General features: G+C 43.9%; 1 protein-coding gene across 2 annotated transcripts in view, besides 1 other annotated feature; it reads left to right on the plus strand.

The window, feature by feature from the left end:
• The window catches only part of LANCL2 (LanC like glutathione S-transferase 2), a 68,401-nt gene that overhangs the window by 20,812 nt on the left and 27,598 nt on the right, over nt 1–19,991 (plus strand). For both annotated transcript variants that reach the window (NM_018697.4, XM_047420614.1), the window contains 4 exons: nt 5,645–5,762; nt 12,275–12,482; nt 13,809–13,956; nt 15,026–15,172. In NM_018697.4, the coding sequence (NP_061167.1) occupies nt 5,645–5,762; nt 12,275–12,482; nt 13,809–13,956; nt 15,026–15,172 (621 nt within the window). The remainder of the gene's footprint in view (nt 1–5,644; nt 5,763–12,274; nt 12,483–13,808; nt 13,957–15,025; nt 15,173–19,991) is intronic.
• Nucleotides 16,286–17,273: an enhancer, noted in NCBI's record as "H3K27ac hESC enhancer chr7:55470127-55471114 (GRCh37/hg19 assembly coordinates)". NCBI's record gives its function as "activates a minimal SCP1, AML or CMV promoter by ChIP-STARR-seq in primed H9 embryonic stem cells {active_cell/tissue: H9 hESC(primed)}" and the evidence as "EXISTENCE:reporter gene assay evidence [ECO:0000049][PMID:30033119]".

Raw genomic sequence — 19,991 nt, forward strand, 5'->3', positions numbered from 1 at the left:
AACACAATTATTACAGGGTCCTGAGATGATATACATCCTTCTCGGCTGACAGGATTAAGAGATTAAAGCAAAGACAGGCATAGGAAATCACAAGGATATTGATTGGGGAAGTGATAAGTGTCCATGAAGTCTTTACAATTTATGTTTAGAGGTTGCAGTAAAGACAGGCATAAGAAATTAGAAAAGTATTAATTTGGGGAACTAATAAATGTCCATTAAATCTTCACAATCCACATTCTTCTCTCATGGCTTCAGCCGGTCCCTCTGTTTGGGGGTCCCTGACTTCCCGCAACATGACTGTATGGAAACAAAGGCTTGCTGGGATTGGTTTTACAGAATGGTGGTGTGGGGTGTGCTGGAGAGCTTTGTGCAGTACCAGTAATGCCAAGGCTGCTGTGAGCTAAGTTGTAGGTGTCTGGTCGTAAGTTGGGCACAGGAGGGCTACATGTTCTGGACCCTGAAGAAAGACGGACTTTAGCTTATCCGGCTTTTTTTTGCTTCCCACTGCTCCTACCAGCATGACTTCTTTTCCCCAATTAGGACTCCACATTTCCCCCATGACAGAGCAACAGTGACAGATCTTTGGCATGTGGGTGAAGGTATCATCTTCCAGCTGCTTCCTGCTGACTAGGTCATAGAGCTGGCCCTACTAGGATTGTTAGTTGGTTGAGAAGTTACGTGGGTTACTGTTTTGGATTGTGGAATGTAGGATATTGGACCTTGCTGGAGAAAGGGACTTGTTAGAGATGGGGATTATGTTAGGGTGAAACTGGTGTTCAGCTGAATCCCAGGGAAATTCGTAAAGGTAGCAGGCATTACTGGGGAGAGATTGTTATGCAATTTGCAGCATCATTTGAAGGTGAAACTGATGAACTCTAGAAGATAAAAGTTTGGGTTTTTTTTAAAGCCAGTTACCAAAAACGCAAAGAAAAACCTTTTGCAGTGTGACTTTTTTTGGAGGGGTGTCCATTTAGTTAACCTGGAAGTTAAACTTGATGAAAAAGTGTTTGAATTTAATTAGACACAGGAAGAGTGTGTTTAGGGTTAGGAGGTTATGAGTATAGCAGGGGAACACATGACTCATAGGAACAGTGTGAGACGTTTTTGATTACATTGAGAATTTAGATAAATGTCAAGAAAATCCAGGAGTACAGATTTAAGTTATGTTAGAGGAAAACATTGGTTAATGTTGACCTTCAAAAAGAAACGTTTTAGCACTAGGCCACAATAACAGAACTGGTGGAAAAAGTTACAGGAACTGACAAAGACTGCAGAAGAGAGTTACTATCCTAGGCCTCCTCCAGGGGAGAAAAAGCTGAACGCAGTGGGACACAGCAAACTGGGACACAGCAAACGTTGAACTTCTGATATATGCTTCTGAGTTTTTTTTGGTTTTTTTTTTTTTTAGAAACTTTTATAAAATTCTGAGTAAAACTTTTTGCAGTTTTATTAAGAGCAGATTAATACCTTAAGAAAACCTTGTTTTAACATAGAGGATTAATGTTACAAAGACTATCCTAAATAATTTTTTAAAATTATAACCAACTTAATTACATACAAAATTCCTTTTATAAATTCTCCTTCATGAACCTTTTCATGACTTACACAGACCGTTTATGACATACTTGGACTTTGACTTGTTCTAAATATCCTTTTTAAAAAACAACCTTACTTTAAGATAATAATTTACCATAGAAGATTTTTTTCTGTAAAATTTCTTATTATACCCTTCCTTACTAAAAATACCTCTTTTCCTTTTCTTCTTTAACTTTAAATGAGTTTTCAACGTTTACATATTAGTTGCACCATAAATAATGAGTCTTAGCACCAGCAACTTGGTAACAACAGATTTAAAGCAGTTAGGAAGAAAGAGGGGAAGAGAGCTTTAGAAAATTCTACATAACTCTACATTGTAGGTTAACCATTTGAGCTCTGAATTTCTCTTGTAGCTTGTCTATCAGTTTAAAATGTGCACAAAAACGGGCCATAATATGTAACCAGCTGGAGTTTTAAAGAAAATGACAAAATCAGGGGTTAGGATGTTAGAGACTTTTTCTCTTTTAAGGCTCGACCCCTGGATTGAACAGAAAAAGAAGAAAATAGAAGAAAGGAATGGGCCGGGCACTGTGGCTCACATCTGTAATCCCAGCCCTTTGGGAGGCGGAGGCAGGTGGATCACTTGAGGCCATGAGTTTGAGACCAGGCTGGCCAACAGGGTAAAACTCTGTCTCTACTAAAAATACAAAAATTAGCCAGGTGTGGTGGTGCATGCCTGTAATCCCAGCTACTTGGGAGGCTGAGGCACGAGAATGGCTTGAACCTGGGAGGCAGAGGCTGCAGTGAGCCAAGATGGTGCCACTGCATTCCAGCCTGGGCAACAGAGAGACTCTGTTAAAGAAAGGAATGGAGAGGAAAGAGTTAAGCTTTACAGGAGGACTTGTGAACCATCCAGCCATTGCAAGGTGCAGGGCCAGTCCCTTTACTACTTTCCTTTATCCTTTATCTCCATCAGTCAGGGAGAGCCTTGACATCTCAGACCTACATGGTATAGGACGAATTTTTCCCATCTCTTCAAGTCACCACTTAAGGTGAGCTGTTTTCAACTGGAGCAGAGAGCCCCTTCAGCTCAAGGCTTTCAGGGGTTGGGATTCTGTCCTGGGAGCCCTTTGGTCCTCAGGCCTCATTTACAGTGGCTGAGCTTGTGGCAGAGGGCACAAGTCAAGTGGGGCTTTTCCCGTTTATCTCATTGAGGGCCGTTTGCCTTTGAGTGGCCTGACCCTCTCCACTGGTAGCAGTCATTTGGAGGAGTATCCTTAGGGAAACCTGGAGGGGGCTGGGGGCTTTAGAACAGCCAACAGTTGAGCCTGCCTGTGCTTCTTGTTTGTATGTTTTTCTTTTTCTTCCTTTTTCTTTTCTTTGCCCTGTCCTCCTTATGCTGCTTTTGGTTATAAAAGACTAAGGAAGCGAATTTGATGTTTTTCTGCATAGGAGCCATGCTGTGTTACACAAGAAAGTTAGACATTTGTTTTTGAGGATCTGGGGGTTGAATTCATTCCAGTTTTTAAAAAATACAGCCTAGAGGTGAGTCTGCAGGAATAAATGGGGTCTGTCCCACAGTGGGACTGGAAAAGGTGTCACTCGGGGTTGACTGAACTGCAGTTTCTCTTAGGTCATCCTGCCAATGAAGAGGGTTCCGCTTATGTCCACTGAGGGACTCTAAGACTATCAGAATAAATTAACAAAGACCTAACTGTATGTTACACAAGAGATGGACTTTAAATATAAAGAAAAAGGTTGAAAGTGAATGGATGGCCAAGTAAGCAAGCAGTGGGCATCTGAAAACTTAGTGACTGTGTGAAATGTCCCATAAAATAGCTCTTAGGGCGAGCAGGTAAAGAGGGTGTTCAGTTTTGATACTTATGTTAATTAATTTTGTCCAGAGTGTAGCAAAAGGTTTTTGAATCAGGAATTTCTTCCTATTTACCTGACAACAAATAACCAGTGGGCAGTTCCCGGGTCCCAGTTCTTATCTGTGGTACAATGCAGTGCAGGTAGGGTATGATGGCCTTCATCAGCAAAGCCAGTATTGTAGATAAGGAAAGAAGGAAAGTAAATTGTCTGTGCTTTTTTATAAAAGGGGAAAAGGCAGTTGTCTCCCCTTCCCTTTCTGAGAGAGTCTCATTAGCATCATCTTTGTTTAATCTTTTCAGAATGTACATAAATATCTGTATGGAAAAGATGAGCCCATTGTCTTCAGTTTTACAAGTCAGAAATGTCTCCTGGTTCTGGGGCCTCATGGCACTTTGAAATGTAAACATGCACATCCAGGATTGAGGAAACTTCTCTGGAGTTCACACGCTGCAAGCCTTAGTTCCTAAGGTTTACTTTTAGTCCAGAATCCCAAATTTCAGTAGAATTTGCCCTCAAAGCCCTAATTGTGCAGAAACCTAAAAGTATTTTCTTTACAATCTCACGGAAGAACATTTCATTATGAAACTGAGTCGGTTTGTCAGGAAGACGTACTAGCCATTAATTTGCCTATGCTTAATAACAGAACTTCCAAATATATGAAAGCAAAAAGAGAGAGAGAGTTAAAGGGAGAAATAATTCCATAGTCATAAGGGGAAACCTCCCAATTAATAGAGCAAGTAGATTTATAAAAATCAGCAAAGGTGGGCCAGGTGCAGTGGCTCATGCCTATAATCCCAGCACTTTGAGAGGCCGAGGTGGGTGGATCACTTGAGGTCAGGTGTTCAAGACCAGCCTGGCCAACATGGTGAAACCCCATCTCTACTAAAAATACAAAAATTAGTCGGGTGTGGTGGCGGGTGCTTGTAATCCCAGTTACTCAGGAGGCTGAGGCAGGAGAATCGCTTGAAGCCAGGAGGCAGAGGTTGCAGTGAGCCAAGATCGCACCATTGCACTCCAGCCTGGGTGACGAGCGAAACTCTGTCTCACCCCATCTCTACTAAAAATACAAAAATTAGCTGGGCGTGGTGGCAAGCGCCTGTAGTCCCAGCTACTCGGGAGGCTGAGGCAGAAGAATCTCTTGAACCCAGGAGGTGGAGGTTGCAGTGAACTGAGATCACACCACAGCACTCCAGCCTGAGCGACAGAGCAAAACTGTCTCAAAAAAAAAAAATCAGCAAAGGTAGGAAAGATCTTAACAACACTGTTAAGCTACATTATTTAAGAATATTGCGTATTTCTCTTTGGAGAGACTGCCAACAATGAATAAGAATACCTATTTTGTTTGCTCTTAGTCTTGGGACTTAATTCTTTTTATATATATATATTTTTTAATCTGGTAAGAAATCCATGGTACTTGTTTTTATTTGCATTTCATTAGTTACTGAGTGATTGAACTTTTTTTTTTTTTTTTTTTTGAGATGGAGTCTCGCTCTGTCGCCCAGGCTGGAGTGCAGTGGTGCGATCTCGGCTCACTGTAAGCTCCGCCTCCCGGGTTCACGCCATTCTCCTGCCTCAGCCTCCCGCGTAGCTGGGACTACAGGCGCCCGCCACCACGCCCGGCTAATTTTTTTGTGTTTTTTAGTAGAGACGGGGTTTCACTGTGTTAGCCAGGATGGTCTCGATCTCCTGACCTCGTGATCCGCCCGCCTCGGCCTCCCAAAGTGCTGGGATTACAGGCGTGAGCCACCGCGCCCGGCCTGAACTTTTTTTGTGTATGCTTATCATTTGTTTTTTCTTTTGTATGAAGATGTTAATAATTTGGGGTCTAGTTATGTATTATGTTTATTGTTGATTTATATCTTATATTCTATGTATTTCCCCTTTGTCATTAACTTTTAAACCATCTTTCTGATGTTCTTGATCTTACAGAAGTTGAAATGTTTATATAGTTAAATCCATCCATTTTTCCTTTTTTTTTTAATTCTTTGATTTCTGCAAGTTGTTTGTTGTTTTTTGTGATTCTACTTATGAGTTATAGTCTAAATAGGGTATTATCTCATTAAAAAAAGTAACCTTATAAAAACCAAGATAGACTCCAACCAATGATGCACTGAGATGGTCCAAGGAAAGTAACTTCTGTCTGTTATGTTTGTACAACTTAGACTTTAAAGTATTTATTGCAACATTGTCCCATTCTTGTGAAGTTAAAGTTATCTCTTCTTTTGGATCTCAGATCATTCATAATTTCATAAGACGGATCCAGACCAAAATTAAAGATCTTCTGCAGCAAATGGAAGAAGGGCTGAAGACAGCTGATCCCCATGACTGCTCTGCTTATACTGGCTGGACAGGTGAGGCTGTGGGGTCTAAATCACTGATACATTTTATTCTTAGATTATGAGATGTAAGACTTGACTGAAATTTTCTTCTCTTTTAAAATGGTAAAGATTTGGCCAGGCACGGTGGCTGACGCCTGTAATCCCAGCACATTTGGAGGCCGAGGCAGGTGGATCACCTGAGCTTAGGAATTCGAGACCAGCTTGGCCAACATGGTGAAACCCCGTTTCTACTAAAAATATAAAAATTAGCCAGGTGTGGTGTCGGGCACCTGTAATCCCAGCTACTTGGGAGGCTGAGGCAGGAGAATTGCTTGAACCTGGGAAGCGGAGGTTGCAGTGAGCCGAGATTGTGCCACTGCACTCCAGCCTGAGCCACAGAGTGAGACTCCATCTGAAAAAAATAAAATGGTAAAGATTTTATATCTTTTTTTTTTCTTTTTTTTTTTTTGAGACGGAGTCTCTGTTGCCTGGGCTAGAGTACAGTGTCTGTTGCCTGGGCTAGAGTACAGTGGTGCAATCACAGCTCTCTACAGCCTTGACCTCCTGGGCTCAAACCATCCTCTTGCCTCAGCCTCCTGTGTAGCTGGGACCACAGGCACATGCCACCACACCTGGCTAATTTTTTGATTTTTTGTAAAGACGGAGTCTCACTGTTGCTGAGGTTGGTCTCAAATTCCTGGGCTCAAGCGATCCTCCTGCTTCAGCCTCCCAAAGTGCTGGGATTACAGGCGTGAGCCACTAGCCTGGCTGATTTTATACCTTTTAATTGAGGTCTTGCTCTATGTCTTCAATGATGAGATGATTTGGAATTTTATTTCTAAAGAAATGCTTTCTTCCTGAAGTTTAAACTTTAATATCTAGTGTGTCTTTTTTTTATAACATTATTTATTTAACCTAATATATAGCTGTCTATGAAAATGTGTAACTATTAAGAGCAAACTTTCCCTAGGGTCAGTTTTAAAGGATTCTTTGCTGCTCTGGTCATTGTGACAGGCTGTGGTGAGTGGTCTCTCTGTTCTGTGATATAAACTAACTACCCTACTGCCTGTACTCATTTGACTCATTTGTGCACATAAATGTTTTTATTTTTATTTTAATGATAACAACCAATAATACACTTCACATCAAAAAATGTAATTGAAAAATTAACTTGCCTTAACTAATCTTTGCATTCTTATTATTTTACCCAGTATTCAGAACATTCTAATAATTATTCGGGGAATATAAAGGATATAAAAGATAACCTTGTTCTCAGGGATTAGACTGAAGTCCAAATTGCTAATGACAATTTATATACAGATTTAGAGTGATTTCTTGCTGAATTCTTGTAGCTTAATTAATAAACAGCATAGGCCAGGTGCGGTGGCTCAAGCCTGTAATCCAAAGCACTTTGGGAGGCCAAAGACGGCAGATCACTTGAGCTCAGGAGTTCAAGACCAGCCTGGGCAACATGGCAAAACCTGTCTCTACTAAAAATACGAAAATTAGCTGGGCATAGTGGCATGGGCCTATAGTCCCAGCTACTGGGAACGCTGAAGCAGGAGAATCAATTGAGCCCAGAGGCGGAGGTTGTAGTGAGCTGAGATCACATCATTACACTCCAGTCTGGGCAACAGGAGTGAGACCCTGTCTCAAAAAGAAAAAAACAAGCAAACCAAAAACCAAAAAAAAACAGCATAGACAGAGATATACATGTTAGAGCCACCATGAACCAAACATGGGCCCTTGATAATATTGTATTTGTATTTATATTTACATTCATTTTTGTGAATATTGTATTTATATTTACATTCGTTTTTGTGATGCTTATTATTTGCCTATTATGCATGCAACATTTACATAGTGACATTACATATTTCAAACTTATAAACTTACTTCAAACTTCACACTTATAAACCCAGACAGACATGGAGCCAGTTCACTTACAGGACCAAAGATATCTTAAATGTAATAAAATTAGATAATTGTGGCTAACCTGAAGTAAAATACAAAGAATAAGGATATTTTGGAAGGAAAATAACATAGCTATTAGTCTCAACGGGTTTCCCCTAACAAGCCTTTTATTTACAGCTTTTTCGCTTGTTGAGAAAGGGTTTCTAAACCCCTGATCGTTAGGTTCCAAACTGGCTATGCATCACAATTACCAAGAGAGCTTTGTAAGAAACCACAGTTCTCAGCCTCCAGCCCAGAAGAGTTACATTAGGAACTCTAGAGGTGGGTTCCAGAAATCAGTATTGCTTAAAAATCCCTAGCCATTGCTGTCTTTAGGAATCATCATGGAAGTATTTGGTTTCAGTGATTTAAAATAATAGGGTTTAGGGGTTCAGGTAGATGTATGGAATCCACCTAGATCCATACCTCCCCTAAACTGTGTATACGATATAGGAAGAAGGCTGGGCACAGTGGCTCATACCTGTAATCCCAGCACTTTGGGAGATGGAGGTGGGAGGATGGTTTGAGGCCAGGAGTTTGAGACCAGCCTGGGCAACATAACAAGACCCCATCTCTAAAATTAGCTGGGCACAGTGGTAAACACCTGTAGTGCCAACTACTCAGGAGGCTGAGGCAGGAGGATGGCTCAAGCCCAGGAGGTCGAGGCTGCAGTGAGCCATGATTACACTGCTGCACTCCAGCCTGGGTGACAGAGTGAGACCCTGTCTCAACAAAAGAAGAAGAAGAATGAATGAAGCACCCACAACTTATCCCTTTAGCAAAACTTTGAGACAGAAAACACACAAGTCATGTTGGGTAAAAAACAAGCAGCATCCAGAACAAGTGTGGAGAGCCATGGTGTGCAAAGAGGAAGCCCAGGGTCCAGGCATGGCTGAATCACTCCGACCCCACCCACCCTCCCAGAATCAGCAAATAGCTATTCCAGGCAGAGTGGGCCACAGCCTCAGTGGGAACTTCTGTGGGCACATCTGAGTGCAGAGCGGGCAGGCGGTGTGCCAGGAGAAGCTGGGAATAAAGGCATGGAAAGTGCACAGGGAATGGGGTTGGAGAGCTGTAGAACAGGCATGGCTTGCGGAGAAGCAGGTTTAGCTTGCAAGGTGGAGCGGCATCCTTGCTGGCCCCCGCTGACAGTGTAGGGAAGGAAGGAAGCAGTAGCAGTGGGCACTCCTGATACAAGGAAGGGTCTGAGAGTCAGGAAATCTGGCCACCAGACTCCCTGTATGTAACATACACTGTTCTTCACTTAGCAAGAGGACACTGTTGGGATAAAAGTTGGGAAAGCTACATTAACCATTTTCCCCTTCCAGGGATTTGTCCTATTAATAGTTGATATAGAAAAATTCAATTTTAAGAAAAAATATAATTATTTTATCCATAATATAAAGAAGAAAAATAAAAATTTCTCAGTGGAGGGAGAAAAACGCACCAGGAAAATGTCACTACAAAGTGGAGAAAAATTGGCAGTACTTTCAACATTCATTTTGTAACTTAGTTAAGCAGTGAGTTCACAAAGCGGAGGTAAAGACATTCAGAGCAGAGATGGCTAGACAGTAAGAGCATGTGAAATAAGAATTGACAGACTAAGAAAAGAAATTTAAAGAAAAGATAAAAAATCATTTCAGAAATGAAACCAAAGCGCAAGGAGCCAAAGAAAGAGCTGATCCCACAGAGAGCACCGGGGCAGAGTGTCCTTGTGTCTAGGAAGGGTGTCATAAATGTTTGCTTAATAAATAAGTGACTAAATGAAACTATCAAGGAAAAAAATCAAAGAGAAAGAAAGATAAAGAGAGACTTCAGTTTTCCAGTCTAGCATATAAAGAGTTTACAAGTCACCATTGCATCCTAGCAACTAAAAAGCTGAACAAAGTGAAAACTAAACAGCTCTTCTTAGCTCCATCAGAGAAGTGAGGTCACAGGGGCAAACTGCTCCACCAAAAACTGGCGAAACAGGTGGATGCCGAGAATTACAGTCATGCATCGCTTCACATCATGGATGAGTTCTGAGAAACGCATCATTGAGCAGTTTCATTGTGCAGATATAGAGGTGCTCACACACACCTAGATTGTGTAGCCAACTACACCCCTGTGCTCTGTGAGATAGCCTGTTGCTCCTAGGCTGCAAAGCTGTACAGCATTACTGCACTGAATACTGTAGCAATTGTAACACAATGGTGTTTTTGTATCTAAACATAGATATAGAAAAGGTACAGTAAAAATATGGTATTATGATTACGATCTTATGGGACTATGCCTATGCAGTTTGTTGTTGACCTAAACTTTAAATATGAATTGTGGGGGCTCAGTGTGGGCAAGCCAGAGAGACTAAAAACTCAATGGGGACCCAGTCATAGGGGGCTCTCACACTTTTGTGAACTTTACCTCTAGGAGCTCCACCAGGTCTTCATGGTGAGTATCAGAGACAACTCCCCTCATGCTTCTCATAGGTTCGGGGGAAGGAACCATACTGAATTCCATCAGAGCCTTCAGTTCTTGACAAGCCCTGCCCTCTGGAGAAATTGCTTCACCGGAGCCTCTCCTGCAAAGGGTTTATCGCAGCCCCGCCTACCCGGAGCAAGGGAGATGCCTAGCTCCAGCTGGTTCTAGCTTTCAGCATTGGGGAAGGGAGATGATCAGCTGCAGCTTCTGCTGGCCATCCTGGCCAACTGAGGGCGTGGGGATGGGAGGCACTGGTGCAGTTCACAGTCCAAAGGCACAGGCTGGCCAGAAGGTTGAGCCTGCTCACAGGCGCGTGCTCCCCAGCACCTCCCACCACATCCCTAAGGGCCTGTTCATTCCAGCTCCTTTTACCTAGTGCAACGTGTCCGCCTGCCAACAAAAAACGACAAAGCATGATGACCTTTTTTTTTTTACTTTACCTTTTACCATTTGCTTTAAAATACTGAAGCATTAAGTATATATAACTGTAAGTTTTTAGGTTCATAGGTTAATCAGATCAACATCCTATTTTTAGAGATTTCTGAGTAAATCAGGGAATACTCATTTGTAAGCCTTTATAGTGATTATTATGTTTGAAATTTGTAAGTATTTAACTTTTACTGTCTGTTTCCTGTATGCTTATATTTTTTGAATACAGAAAACATGCTCTCAGGGAGATGATAAGCAACTCATGCTGAAGAATTTTTTTTTCAGAGCTTCCAAATATTCTACTTTCATATCCGTTTGACTCAACATCTTTAAAGAAATGGATAATGATGAAAGACTTCAAAAAGTGTTAAGGATTAATTTGAAAGAGAAGTTATATACCCTGAATAGAAAAATTGAAGAAAGAAGAAGCTAGATATTTGGAGAAATTTAAAAAGCAAAATGAGGCTGGGTGCAGTGGTTCACGCCTGTTAATCCCAGCACTTTGGGAGGCCAAGGTGGGCGGATCACGAAGTCAGGAGTTCAAGACCAGCCTGACCAACATGGTGAAAACCCGTCTCTACTGAAAATACAAAAAATAGCCAGGCATGGTGGCATGTGCCTGTAATCCCAGCTACTCAGGAGGCTGAGGCAGGAGAATCACTTGAACCCGGGAGGCAGAGGTTGCAGTGAGCCGAGATCGTGCTGCTGCACTCCAGCCTGGGCAACAGAGCAAGACTCTGTCTCAAAAAAAAAAAAAAAAAAAAGCAAAATGAAAAATAGTAAAAGCAGAGTAGGATATTATTAGACAAAGACTAGAATATTGAAGAACCTCAACTTAAACATGAAAGAAATATTTCATTTGCCCTTTTCACCAGCATGTCATCTCTGTCAATGTTGGTTCCTATAAAAGACTTCAGTAAATACATATTTATACTGATTCTTTTTTTTTTTTTTTTTTTTTACTTAGCTGTCATATTGTCTTCTCGAACCCAGATGTAAGGACATGCTTCTTTAAGAAGCCATATAGGCCCTTCTTTGGAGATTCTCAGATTCATTTGAAGACCTGAGTCTGTTCTTTATCTAGAATGGAAAGGTTGGTGGGTGGTGAACCACACACGCCCTTTGTACTGATCACCTTACTCTGTACTGTGTGGCTGCTCCAGAAATGGCGAGTTCACTCACCAGTTCATTGGTCAGTTGTAGGGTTGTTCACTAAAGAACATTGAAAAATTGGGAAAAATAGAAAAAAAAATAGGAAGAAGGGAGTATAAAGTTCAGAAAAGCAATCATTTGGGATAACATAGGAGAAATGATTTTACAATAAGTAAAAAGAAGAAGATCCAAGTTAGGATCTACAAGGGAGAATGAATACAACCTTGGAATGAATGAAAATTAACTGAGGATGAGTAGGAAGTGATGTATCTTCTGTTGTCTGTGAATAAGAGGTATTAAATCACTGTGCCAGGACAAGCACCAAGATAACATGTACAAACATGGTTTCTGTTCTTTCCTCCCTGATTTCTCTGTCTTGGTTTTATTTTGTTTATTCATTTTTAAGAAATATATGAAATGTATTGTTTTGGTGTTACCCGTTTGGAAACATAGATTTATGTAGAAGAAGGTATTTCATGTAATTATAAATAATGTCCTGAAGATAAAAGGAAAAGATAATAATGCTTTTCTTTTGGGGTGGGAAATTATTCCAGGCATAGCCCTTTTGTACCTGCAGTTGTACCGGGTCACATGTGACCAAACCTACCTGCTCCGATCCCTGGATTACGTAAAAAGAACACTTCGGAATCTGAATGGCCGCAGGGTCACCTTCCTCTGTGGGGATGCTGGCCCCCTGGCTGTTGGAGCTGTGATTTATCACAAACTCAGAAGTGACTGTGAGTCCCAGGAATGTGTCACAAAGTGAGTTTTAGAACTGGAAACATTTTCTCCCAATTCCCAGTGGAAGCTCTTGCTGTAGAAAGATATTCAGAAAGGAAACTATTTTTCCATTCATCCATTGTTGTAAACAGATCACTCCAAAATGTTAATCTTGAGCATAGTGGTGGGATCATATGCCCTCTTTTTATCCAAGCATGTGTGTGCCTTAATTTTGGGAAGAATAAATATATTTCCTTATTTTAACCATGTTTCCTAAGCAATTTTTTGTTTTCTTCAATGCATGAAAATTAGCTTACCTGCTTTAGATTCACCATAATAACTAAACTGATGTTAGGTTCAACCCTTAAGTAACTGATTAGATATGCTAATGATGGAACAATTAGGGAATGTAAGCTTTTATTGCACCTATTGGTTTACGTTCTTCCTTGAAGAAGCAGAAATCACGGTTCATTCCTAGGGTCTGGTAGAGTATCTGGCACGTGCTAGTCAGTTAATGTTTGTTGAAAGATAGGATGACGCTGGGTATAGTGGCATGTGCTTGTAGTTCCATTAACTTGGGAGGCTGAGGCAGGAGGATCACTTGAGCTCAGGAGTTCAAGGCTGCGGTGAGCCATCATCCTGTCACTGCACACCAGCCAGGGCAACAGAGCAAGACCCTGTCTCTAAAGAAAAAGAAAGAAAAAAAAAAAGACAGAATGACAGTCTAATTCCCAAGCATTGGTGACATTGCAGTCCTTTTTTTTTTTTTTCTGAGATGGAATTTCGCTCTTGTTGCCCAGGCTGGAGTGCAATGGCGCGATCTCAGCTCACTGCAACGTCCGCCTCCTGGGTTCAAGGGATTCTCCTGCCTCAGCCTCCAAAGTAGCTGGGATTACAAGCATGTGCCACCACACCCAGCTAGTTTTGCATTTTTAGTAGAGACGGGGTTTCACCATGTTGGTCAGGCTGGTCTTGAACTCCTGACCTCAGGTGATCCACCTACCTCGGCCTCCCAAAGTGCTGGGATTATAGGCGTGAGCCACCGTGCCCGGCCTGCAGTACCATTTTTATTTAAATTTTAAATCACTTTCTTTTACTTCTGGATTTCAAAATAAAATTTTATGGTTTAAAATAGATGTAAAGGTAGAAATTAACAGAAAGATGTTTTGTTTTTAATTTTGACATTCAAAAGGGGACTAGTAAACTGGAGACGTTTTTGTTGTGTTCTGGATTTGGGAGTATTTTTAAAAATAATTGTTTTAAATGTAAAATAAATAATAGGTAATTCCTAAAGCAACAGGGTTAGTGTTTCAGGAAGAAGTACTTTAGACTTCCACTGGGAAAAAATTAATTTTTCTTATTGGTTAGACTTTTGCAGCTCCAGAGATCGGTTGTCTGCCAAGAATCAGACCTTCCTGATGAGCTGCTTTATGGACGGGCAGGTTATCTGTATGCCTTACTGTACCTGAACACAGAGATAGGTCCAGGCACCGTGTGTGAGTCAGCTATTAAAGAGGTACTATGGGGTATGGGTAACTATGGGCGTCTCTACCATTCAAACCTATTTGCTAGCATTGAGTTGTATTAACAGCTGGACTTTACTTCTAGGTAGCATTACTTTTTTAAAGCAACTCATCAAAAGTAAGAAATAGTCCCTGCTTTTTTCTAGGAACATTAACAAAAAAAATCTGTACTCTCTTTCATCTTGTATTAATTTATCAGTTTTTACTGGAGCTAAACAGCAGCAGCTTCAGAAAGTTAGAATGTTTATTTATCTTTCGTGAGATGTCTCAGCTGGTAAGCATTTCAGGCTGGTATGAGTGGGGACCAGCTTCTTCTGTCTCATTCTGCCTTATCCTAGGGGCATACCCTTATTTGCAGGACCAAGGCTAGTTTAGCCCCTCAGCCTATGAAGGGAAAAGAGGAGGTGGAGGCAACGCAGCTTCCTTGTTAGGGACTCAGTCTCCAAGTTGCCCTCTTTACTTCTGCTCCCATCCCAGTGCCAGAACTTCATCAAGTGTCTGTGTTCAGCTGTCTCTAACTAGGGAGCCAGATGCCCAGCTAAAACTTGGAATACTTTCCCAAAAAGGATGAGAGGAGATAGACGTGAGGAAACAGTCATCCCAGACATGATATTCTGTTGATCTAACTGAAATCCTTCATGCCACAGCAGACCTCATATCATTAGCCTTTTATAAATAAAGCCAGTTCCTCCAGCCTTTCCTGATAGGTGTATGTGCTGCTCTTTTGGGAAAAATACTGCAGCTACGAAGCAACTAAGAAATCCAAAACAGTTTTATAAGAAGTTTTTCTAGATTTTTCGTTGACTTTTTATGCAAAGAATTTTTTATTTCTTAGACAGTATCTTTTCCTACTCTGACATTGGCTCCTGATTTCTTTTTGCCTGCATTTATTAATTTATAAAATAAATATAACTATATTAGCTGCTAACTGCTTAAAGACTTTTAGATTAAGGCTTCTGCCTCTCTCTCTATATATGTCATATATATATGACATACTGTTAATTAGACTACAACAGGGTACATATACAGTTTTAGATTTATGCTGTCTTGTTATCTCTGTAGGTAGTCAATGCTATTATTGAATCGGGTAAGACTTTGTCAAGGGAAGAAAGAAAAACGGAGCGCTGCCCGCTGTTGTACCAGTGGCACCGGAAGCAGTACGTTGGAGCAGCCCATGGCATGGCTGGAATTTACTATATGTTAATGCAGGTAGGTAAGAATACTCTTACACACTACAGTATATTTGATCAAACATGAAATGGGAAATGAATCCTGCATATAAACAAAGCAGTCTGGATTGAAATACCCTACTTTGAATCGCTGATGCGTAACTCTGCCACATAAACCACAGGCAGTGGATTTCTAAGAGTCCAGTGAGTTCCTGAGTACATTTGGTATGGAGTCTTTTTTTTTTTTTTTTTTTTTTTTTTCCAATTTTCTTTTTTTTTTTTTTTTGATCATTCTTGGGTGTTTCTCGCAGAGGGGGATTTGGCAGGGTCACAGGACAGTAGTGGAGGGAAGGTCAGCAGATAAGTGAACAAAGGTCTCTGGTTTTCCTAGGCAGAGGACCCTGCGGCCCTCTGCAGTGTTTGTGTCCCTGGGTACTTGAGATTAGGGAGTGGTGATGACTCTTAACGAGCATGCTGCCTTCAAGCATCTTGTTTAACAAAGCACATCTTGCACCACCCTTAATCCATTTAACCCTGAGTGGACACAGCACATGTTTCAGAGAGCACAGGGTTGGGGGTAAGGTCACAGATCAACAGGATCCCAAGGCAGAAGAATTTTTCTTAGTACAGAACAAAATGAAAAGTCTCCCATGTCTACCTCTTTCTACACAGACATGGCAACCATCCGATTTCTCAATCTTTTCCCCACCTTTCCCCCCTTTCTATTCCACAAAACCGCCATTGTCATCATGGCCCGTTCTCAATGAGCTGTTGAGTACACCTCCCAGACGGGGTGGTGGCCGGGCAGAGGGGCTCCTCACTTCCCAGTAGGGGCGGCCGGGCAGAGGCGCCCCTCACCTCCCGGACGGGGCGGCTGGCCGGGCAGAGGGGCTCCTCACTTCCCAGTAGGGGCGGCCAGGCAGAGGCGCCCCTCACCTCCCGGACGGGGCGGCTGGCCGGGCGGGGGGCTGACCCCCCCGCCTCCCTCCCGGACGGGGCGGCTGGCCGGGCGGGGGGCTGACCTCCCCGCCTCCCTCCCCGGACGGGGCGGCTGGCCGGGCAGAGGGGCTCCTTACTTCCCAGTAGGGGCGGCCAGGCAGAGGCGCCCCTCACCTCCCGGACGGGGCGGCTGGCCGGGCGGGGGGCTGACCCCACCACCTCCCTCCCGGACGGGGCGGCTGGCCGGGCAGAGGGGCTCCTCTCCTCCCAGTAGGGGCGGCCGGGCAGAGGCGCCCCCCACCTCCCGGATGGGGCGGCTTGCCGGGCGGGGGGCTGACCCCCCCACATCCTTCCCGGACGGGGCGGCTGGCCAGGCGGGGGATGACCCCCCCACCTCCCTCCCGGATGGGGCGGCTGGCTGGGCGGGGGGCTAACCCCCCCACCTCCCTTCCGGACGGGGCGGCTGGCCGGGCGGGGGGCTGACCCCCACCTCCCTCCCAGACGGGGTGGCTGCCGGGCGGAGACGCTCCTCACTTCTCAGACGGGGCGGTTGCCGGGCGGAGGGTCTCCTCACTTCTCAGACGGGGCGGCCGGGCAGAGACGCTCCTCACATCCCAGACGGGGCGGCAGGGCAGAGGCGCTCCCCACATCTCAGACGATGGGCGGCCTGGCAGAGACGCTCCTCACTTCCTAGATGGGATGGCGGCTGGGCAGAGATGCTCCTCACTTTCCAGACTGGGCAGCCAGGCAGAGAGGCTCCTCACATCCCAGACGATGGGCGGCCAGGCAGAGACGCTCCTCACTTCCCAGACGGGGTGGCGGCCGGGCAGAGGCTGCAATCTCGGCACTTTGGGGGGCCAAGGCAGGCAGCTGGGAGGTGGAGGTTGTAGCGAGCCGAGATCACGCCACTGCACTCCAGCCTGGGCACCATTGAACACTGAGTGAGTGAACGCGACTCCGTCTGCCATCCCGGCACCTCGGGAGGCCGAGGCTGGCGGATCACTCGCGGTTAGGAGCTGGAGACCAGCCTGGCCAACACAGCGAAACCCCGTCTCCACCAAAAAAATACGAAAACCAGTCAGGCATGGCGGCGCGCGCCTGCAATCGCAGGCACTCGGCAGGCTGAGGCAGGAGAATCAGGCAGGGAGGTTGCAGTGAGCCGAGATGGCAGCAGTACAGTCCAGCTTTGGCTCGGCATCAGGGGGAGACCGTGGAAAGAGAGGGAGAGGGAGAGGGAGAGGAGGGAGAGGGAGAGGAGGAGCCTTTCCAATTTTCTTTCGGTATGGAGTCTTAAAGCAGATTAGTTATCTGTTCCCCACACTTTTCTGGGTTTTTTTTGTTTGTTTGTTGTTTTTTTTTTTTTTTTTTTTGAGACAGAGTCTCACTCTGTCGCCCAGGCTGGAGTGCAGTGGTGTGATCTCGGCTCACTGCAACCTCCACCTCCCAGGTTCCGGTGATTCTCCTGCCTCAGCCACCCGAGCAGCTGGGACTACAGGCGCGCACTACCACCTCCAGCTAATTTTTGTATTTTTAGTAGAGACGGGGTTTCACCATATCGGCCAGGCTGGTCTCAAACTCCTGACCTCATGATCCGCCCACGTCAGCCTCCCAAAATGCTAGGATTATAGGCATGAGCCACCGTGCCTGGCTTGCCCACCCTTTTCTTCTGTGCTTGTCTTCCTGTTAATTGCAGTAGGAACTCTTAATGGGGAAAAATCTTCAGGGAGCAACAGGGCCTGCAGAACCCAACTGAGGCAGAGACTTTGTCATGTCCTGATAACTTTGCTTGCTGTCAGTTGTCTTCTGTGCTTTTGATGAGTTTATTGCTGTGGTTATGATCTTGTCTCTCAAACATCCCTGACAACGATAGAGTACTGACTCTTCTATCAGGCCAGTAGAGACCCCATAACTAAACATTGCTTCAGGCTGTGCTTGGCTTGAGCATAAGCCTAGGGCTTCAGCCTAGCCTGTGGCCTAAGTTCTCTTCCCTGCCAAGCGCACAGCCGCCTCTGCCACCGCCTCCTCCTCCTTCTTCTCCTCCTCCTCCCTCCTCTACCTTTCTTCCTGCCCACTGTTCTCCTCCTCCTCCTTCTTTCTTCTTCTTTTAAATTTAAGCTTTCTTTATTCTGCAAAACTACAAAACTAGTAAGTCAAAGGATATGGATTAGAATTTAGATATCTTAGACTGGAAAACCTATATATTACTTTTTAAAATTTTACTTCAGATTCTTTTTATGTCTAACCTACTGCCTCATGTTCTCACTCACTAAAGGAAACCAGGAAATTCATACCTACACAGGATTAAAACTTTTTCTAGTTATTGTCTTTGTTTATTGTTGTTGAAAGTAAAACATGCATATATGCATATAGTTCATTTTGTGAATTTTCTTTCTTTTTTTTTCTTTTTTTTTTGAGATGGAATCTTGCTTTGTCGCCCAGGCTGGAGTGCAGTGGCGCCATCTCAGCCCACTGCAACCTCCGCCTCCTGGGTTCAAGCCATTCTTCTGCCTTAGCCTCCTGAGTAGCTGGGATTACAGGCATGCACCGCCACACCTGGCTAATTTTTGTATTTTTAGTAGAGATGGAGTTTCGCCATGTTGGCCAGGTTGGTCTCGAACTCCTGACCTCTGGTGATCCACCCACCTCAGCCTCCCAAAGTACTGGGATTACAGGCTTGTGAATTTTCTTCATGATGCAGGTACATGCTTTCAAAGTAACCAGAATTCCATACCTCATTTAAAAATGGCACTGTTATTTTGAACAGTTAGATTTTGTGTATGTGTTAGGGTTCTCCAGAGAAACAACCAATAGGAGATAAATATTATATATGAGATGGGATTTCTTAAAGGAATTGGCTCACGCAACCATGGAGTCCCAGAAGCCCCATCATCTGTCATCTACAGTCCTAAGACCTGGGAATGCCAGGGCTGTAACTCCACTCCGAGTCAGAAGACTGAGACCCAGGGGAGCCAAATCCCAGTCCAAGGGCAGGAGGAGACTGTTGCCCTGGTTGAAGCCGGCAGGCAGGAAGGAACAGATGTTTTCTTTCTCTGCCTTTGGTTCTGTTCAGGCCTTGGAGGGACTGGATGAGGTGCACCCACTTTGGGGAGGGCCATCTGCCTGACTGAGTCCACACCGTTCAATGCTAATCTCAACTGGAAACACCTTTAGAGACACACCCAGACACCATGTTTAATTTGACACATAAAATTATCTATCATAGTGTATTCTGTATTTTCCCGGGAAAATGTTTTAACAGTGGTTCAGGAACTTTTTTTTTTTTTTTTTTTTGGGACAGGGTCTCACTTTTGCCCAAGCTAGAGTGCAGTGACACAATCTCTGCCTACTGCAAACTCCATCTCCCGGGTTTAAGTGATTCTCCTGCAGCCCCACGAGTGTGCTGGGATTACAGGCGTCCACCACCATGCCTGGCCGGAACTTTTTTTTTTTAATGCTAATTCCCTTAGGGGAACATAGTAATGTAAGAACCATGCCAGTGTCTTTCATGTGTTTAGGCTGATTTTGCTGTATATTATGGACTTCCTTGGGAGGAATACAAATCATAAAATACTCCATTGATCTGCTTTTAAAGTGAGGAACTTGGAACACTATGTAGTAAGTACTTGACTTAGAGATTGAGCCAGGTTTTCTTTCAAGATTCTTAGGCAGTGGCGTGGTAGAGCCAGCATGGGGAGCTGCCCGCATCTCTTCCCTGCTGCACGGTTCGTGGCTGTTGTCAGTGCAGAACTACGATTCAGAAATGTGGAAAGGAGGGCTTTGTTTCTCATACAGGGTTACAGCCTGCAGCTAATCATACGTAGCCTTGGGCTAGAAGCCAGAAATATTCTGAGGGAGTGGAAAGGGAGCAGGAACGTATGCCAAGCCAGGTGGCCGAATGTATGTGTCGGTGAGCTGCAGGA

Source organism: Homo sapiens, chromosome 7 (genome assembly GCF_000001405.40).
Source record: "Homo sapiens chromosome 7, GRCh38.p14 Primary Assembly".
In the NCBI taxonomy this organism is placed as follows: domain Eukaryota; kingdom Metazoa; phylum Chordata; class Mammalia; order Primates; family Hominidae; genus Homo; species Homo sapiens.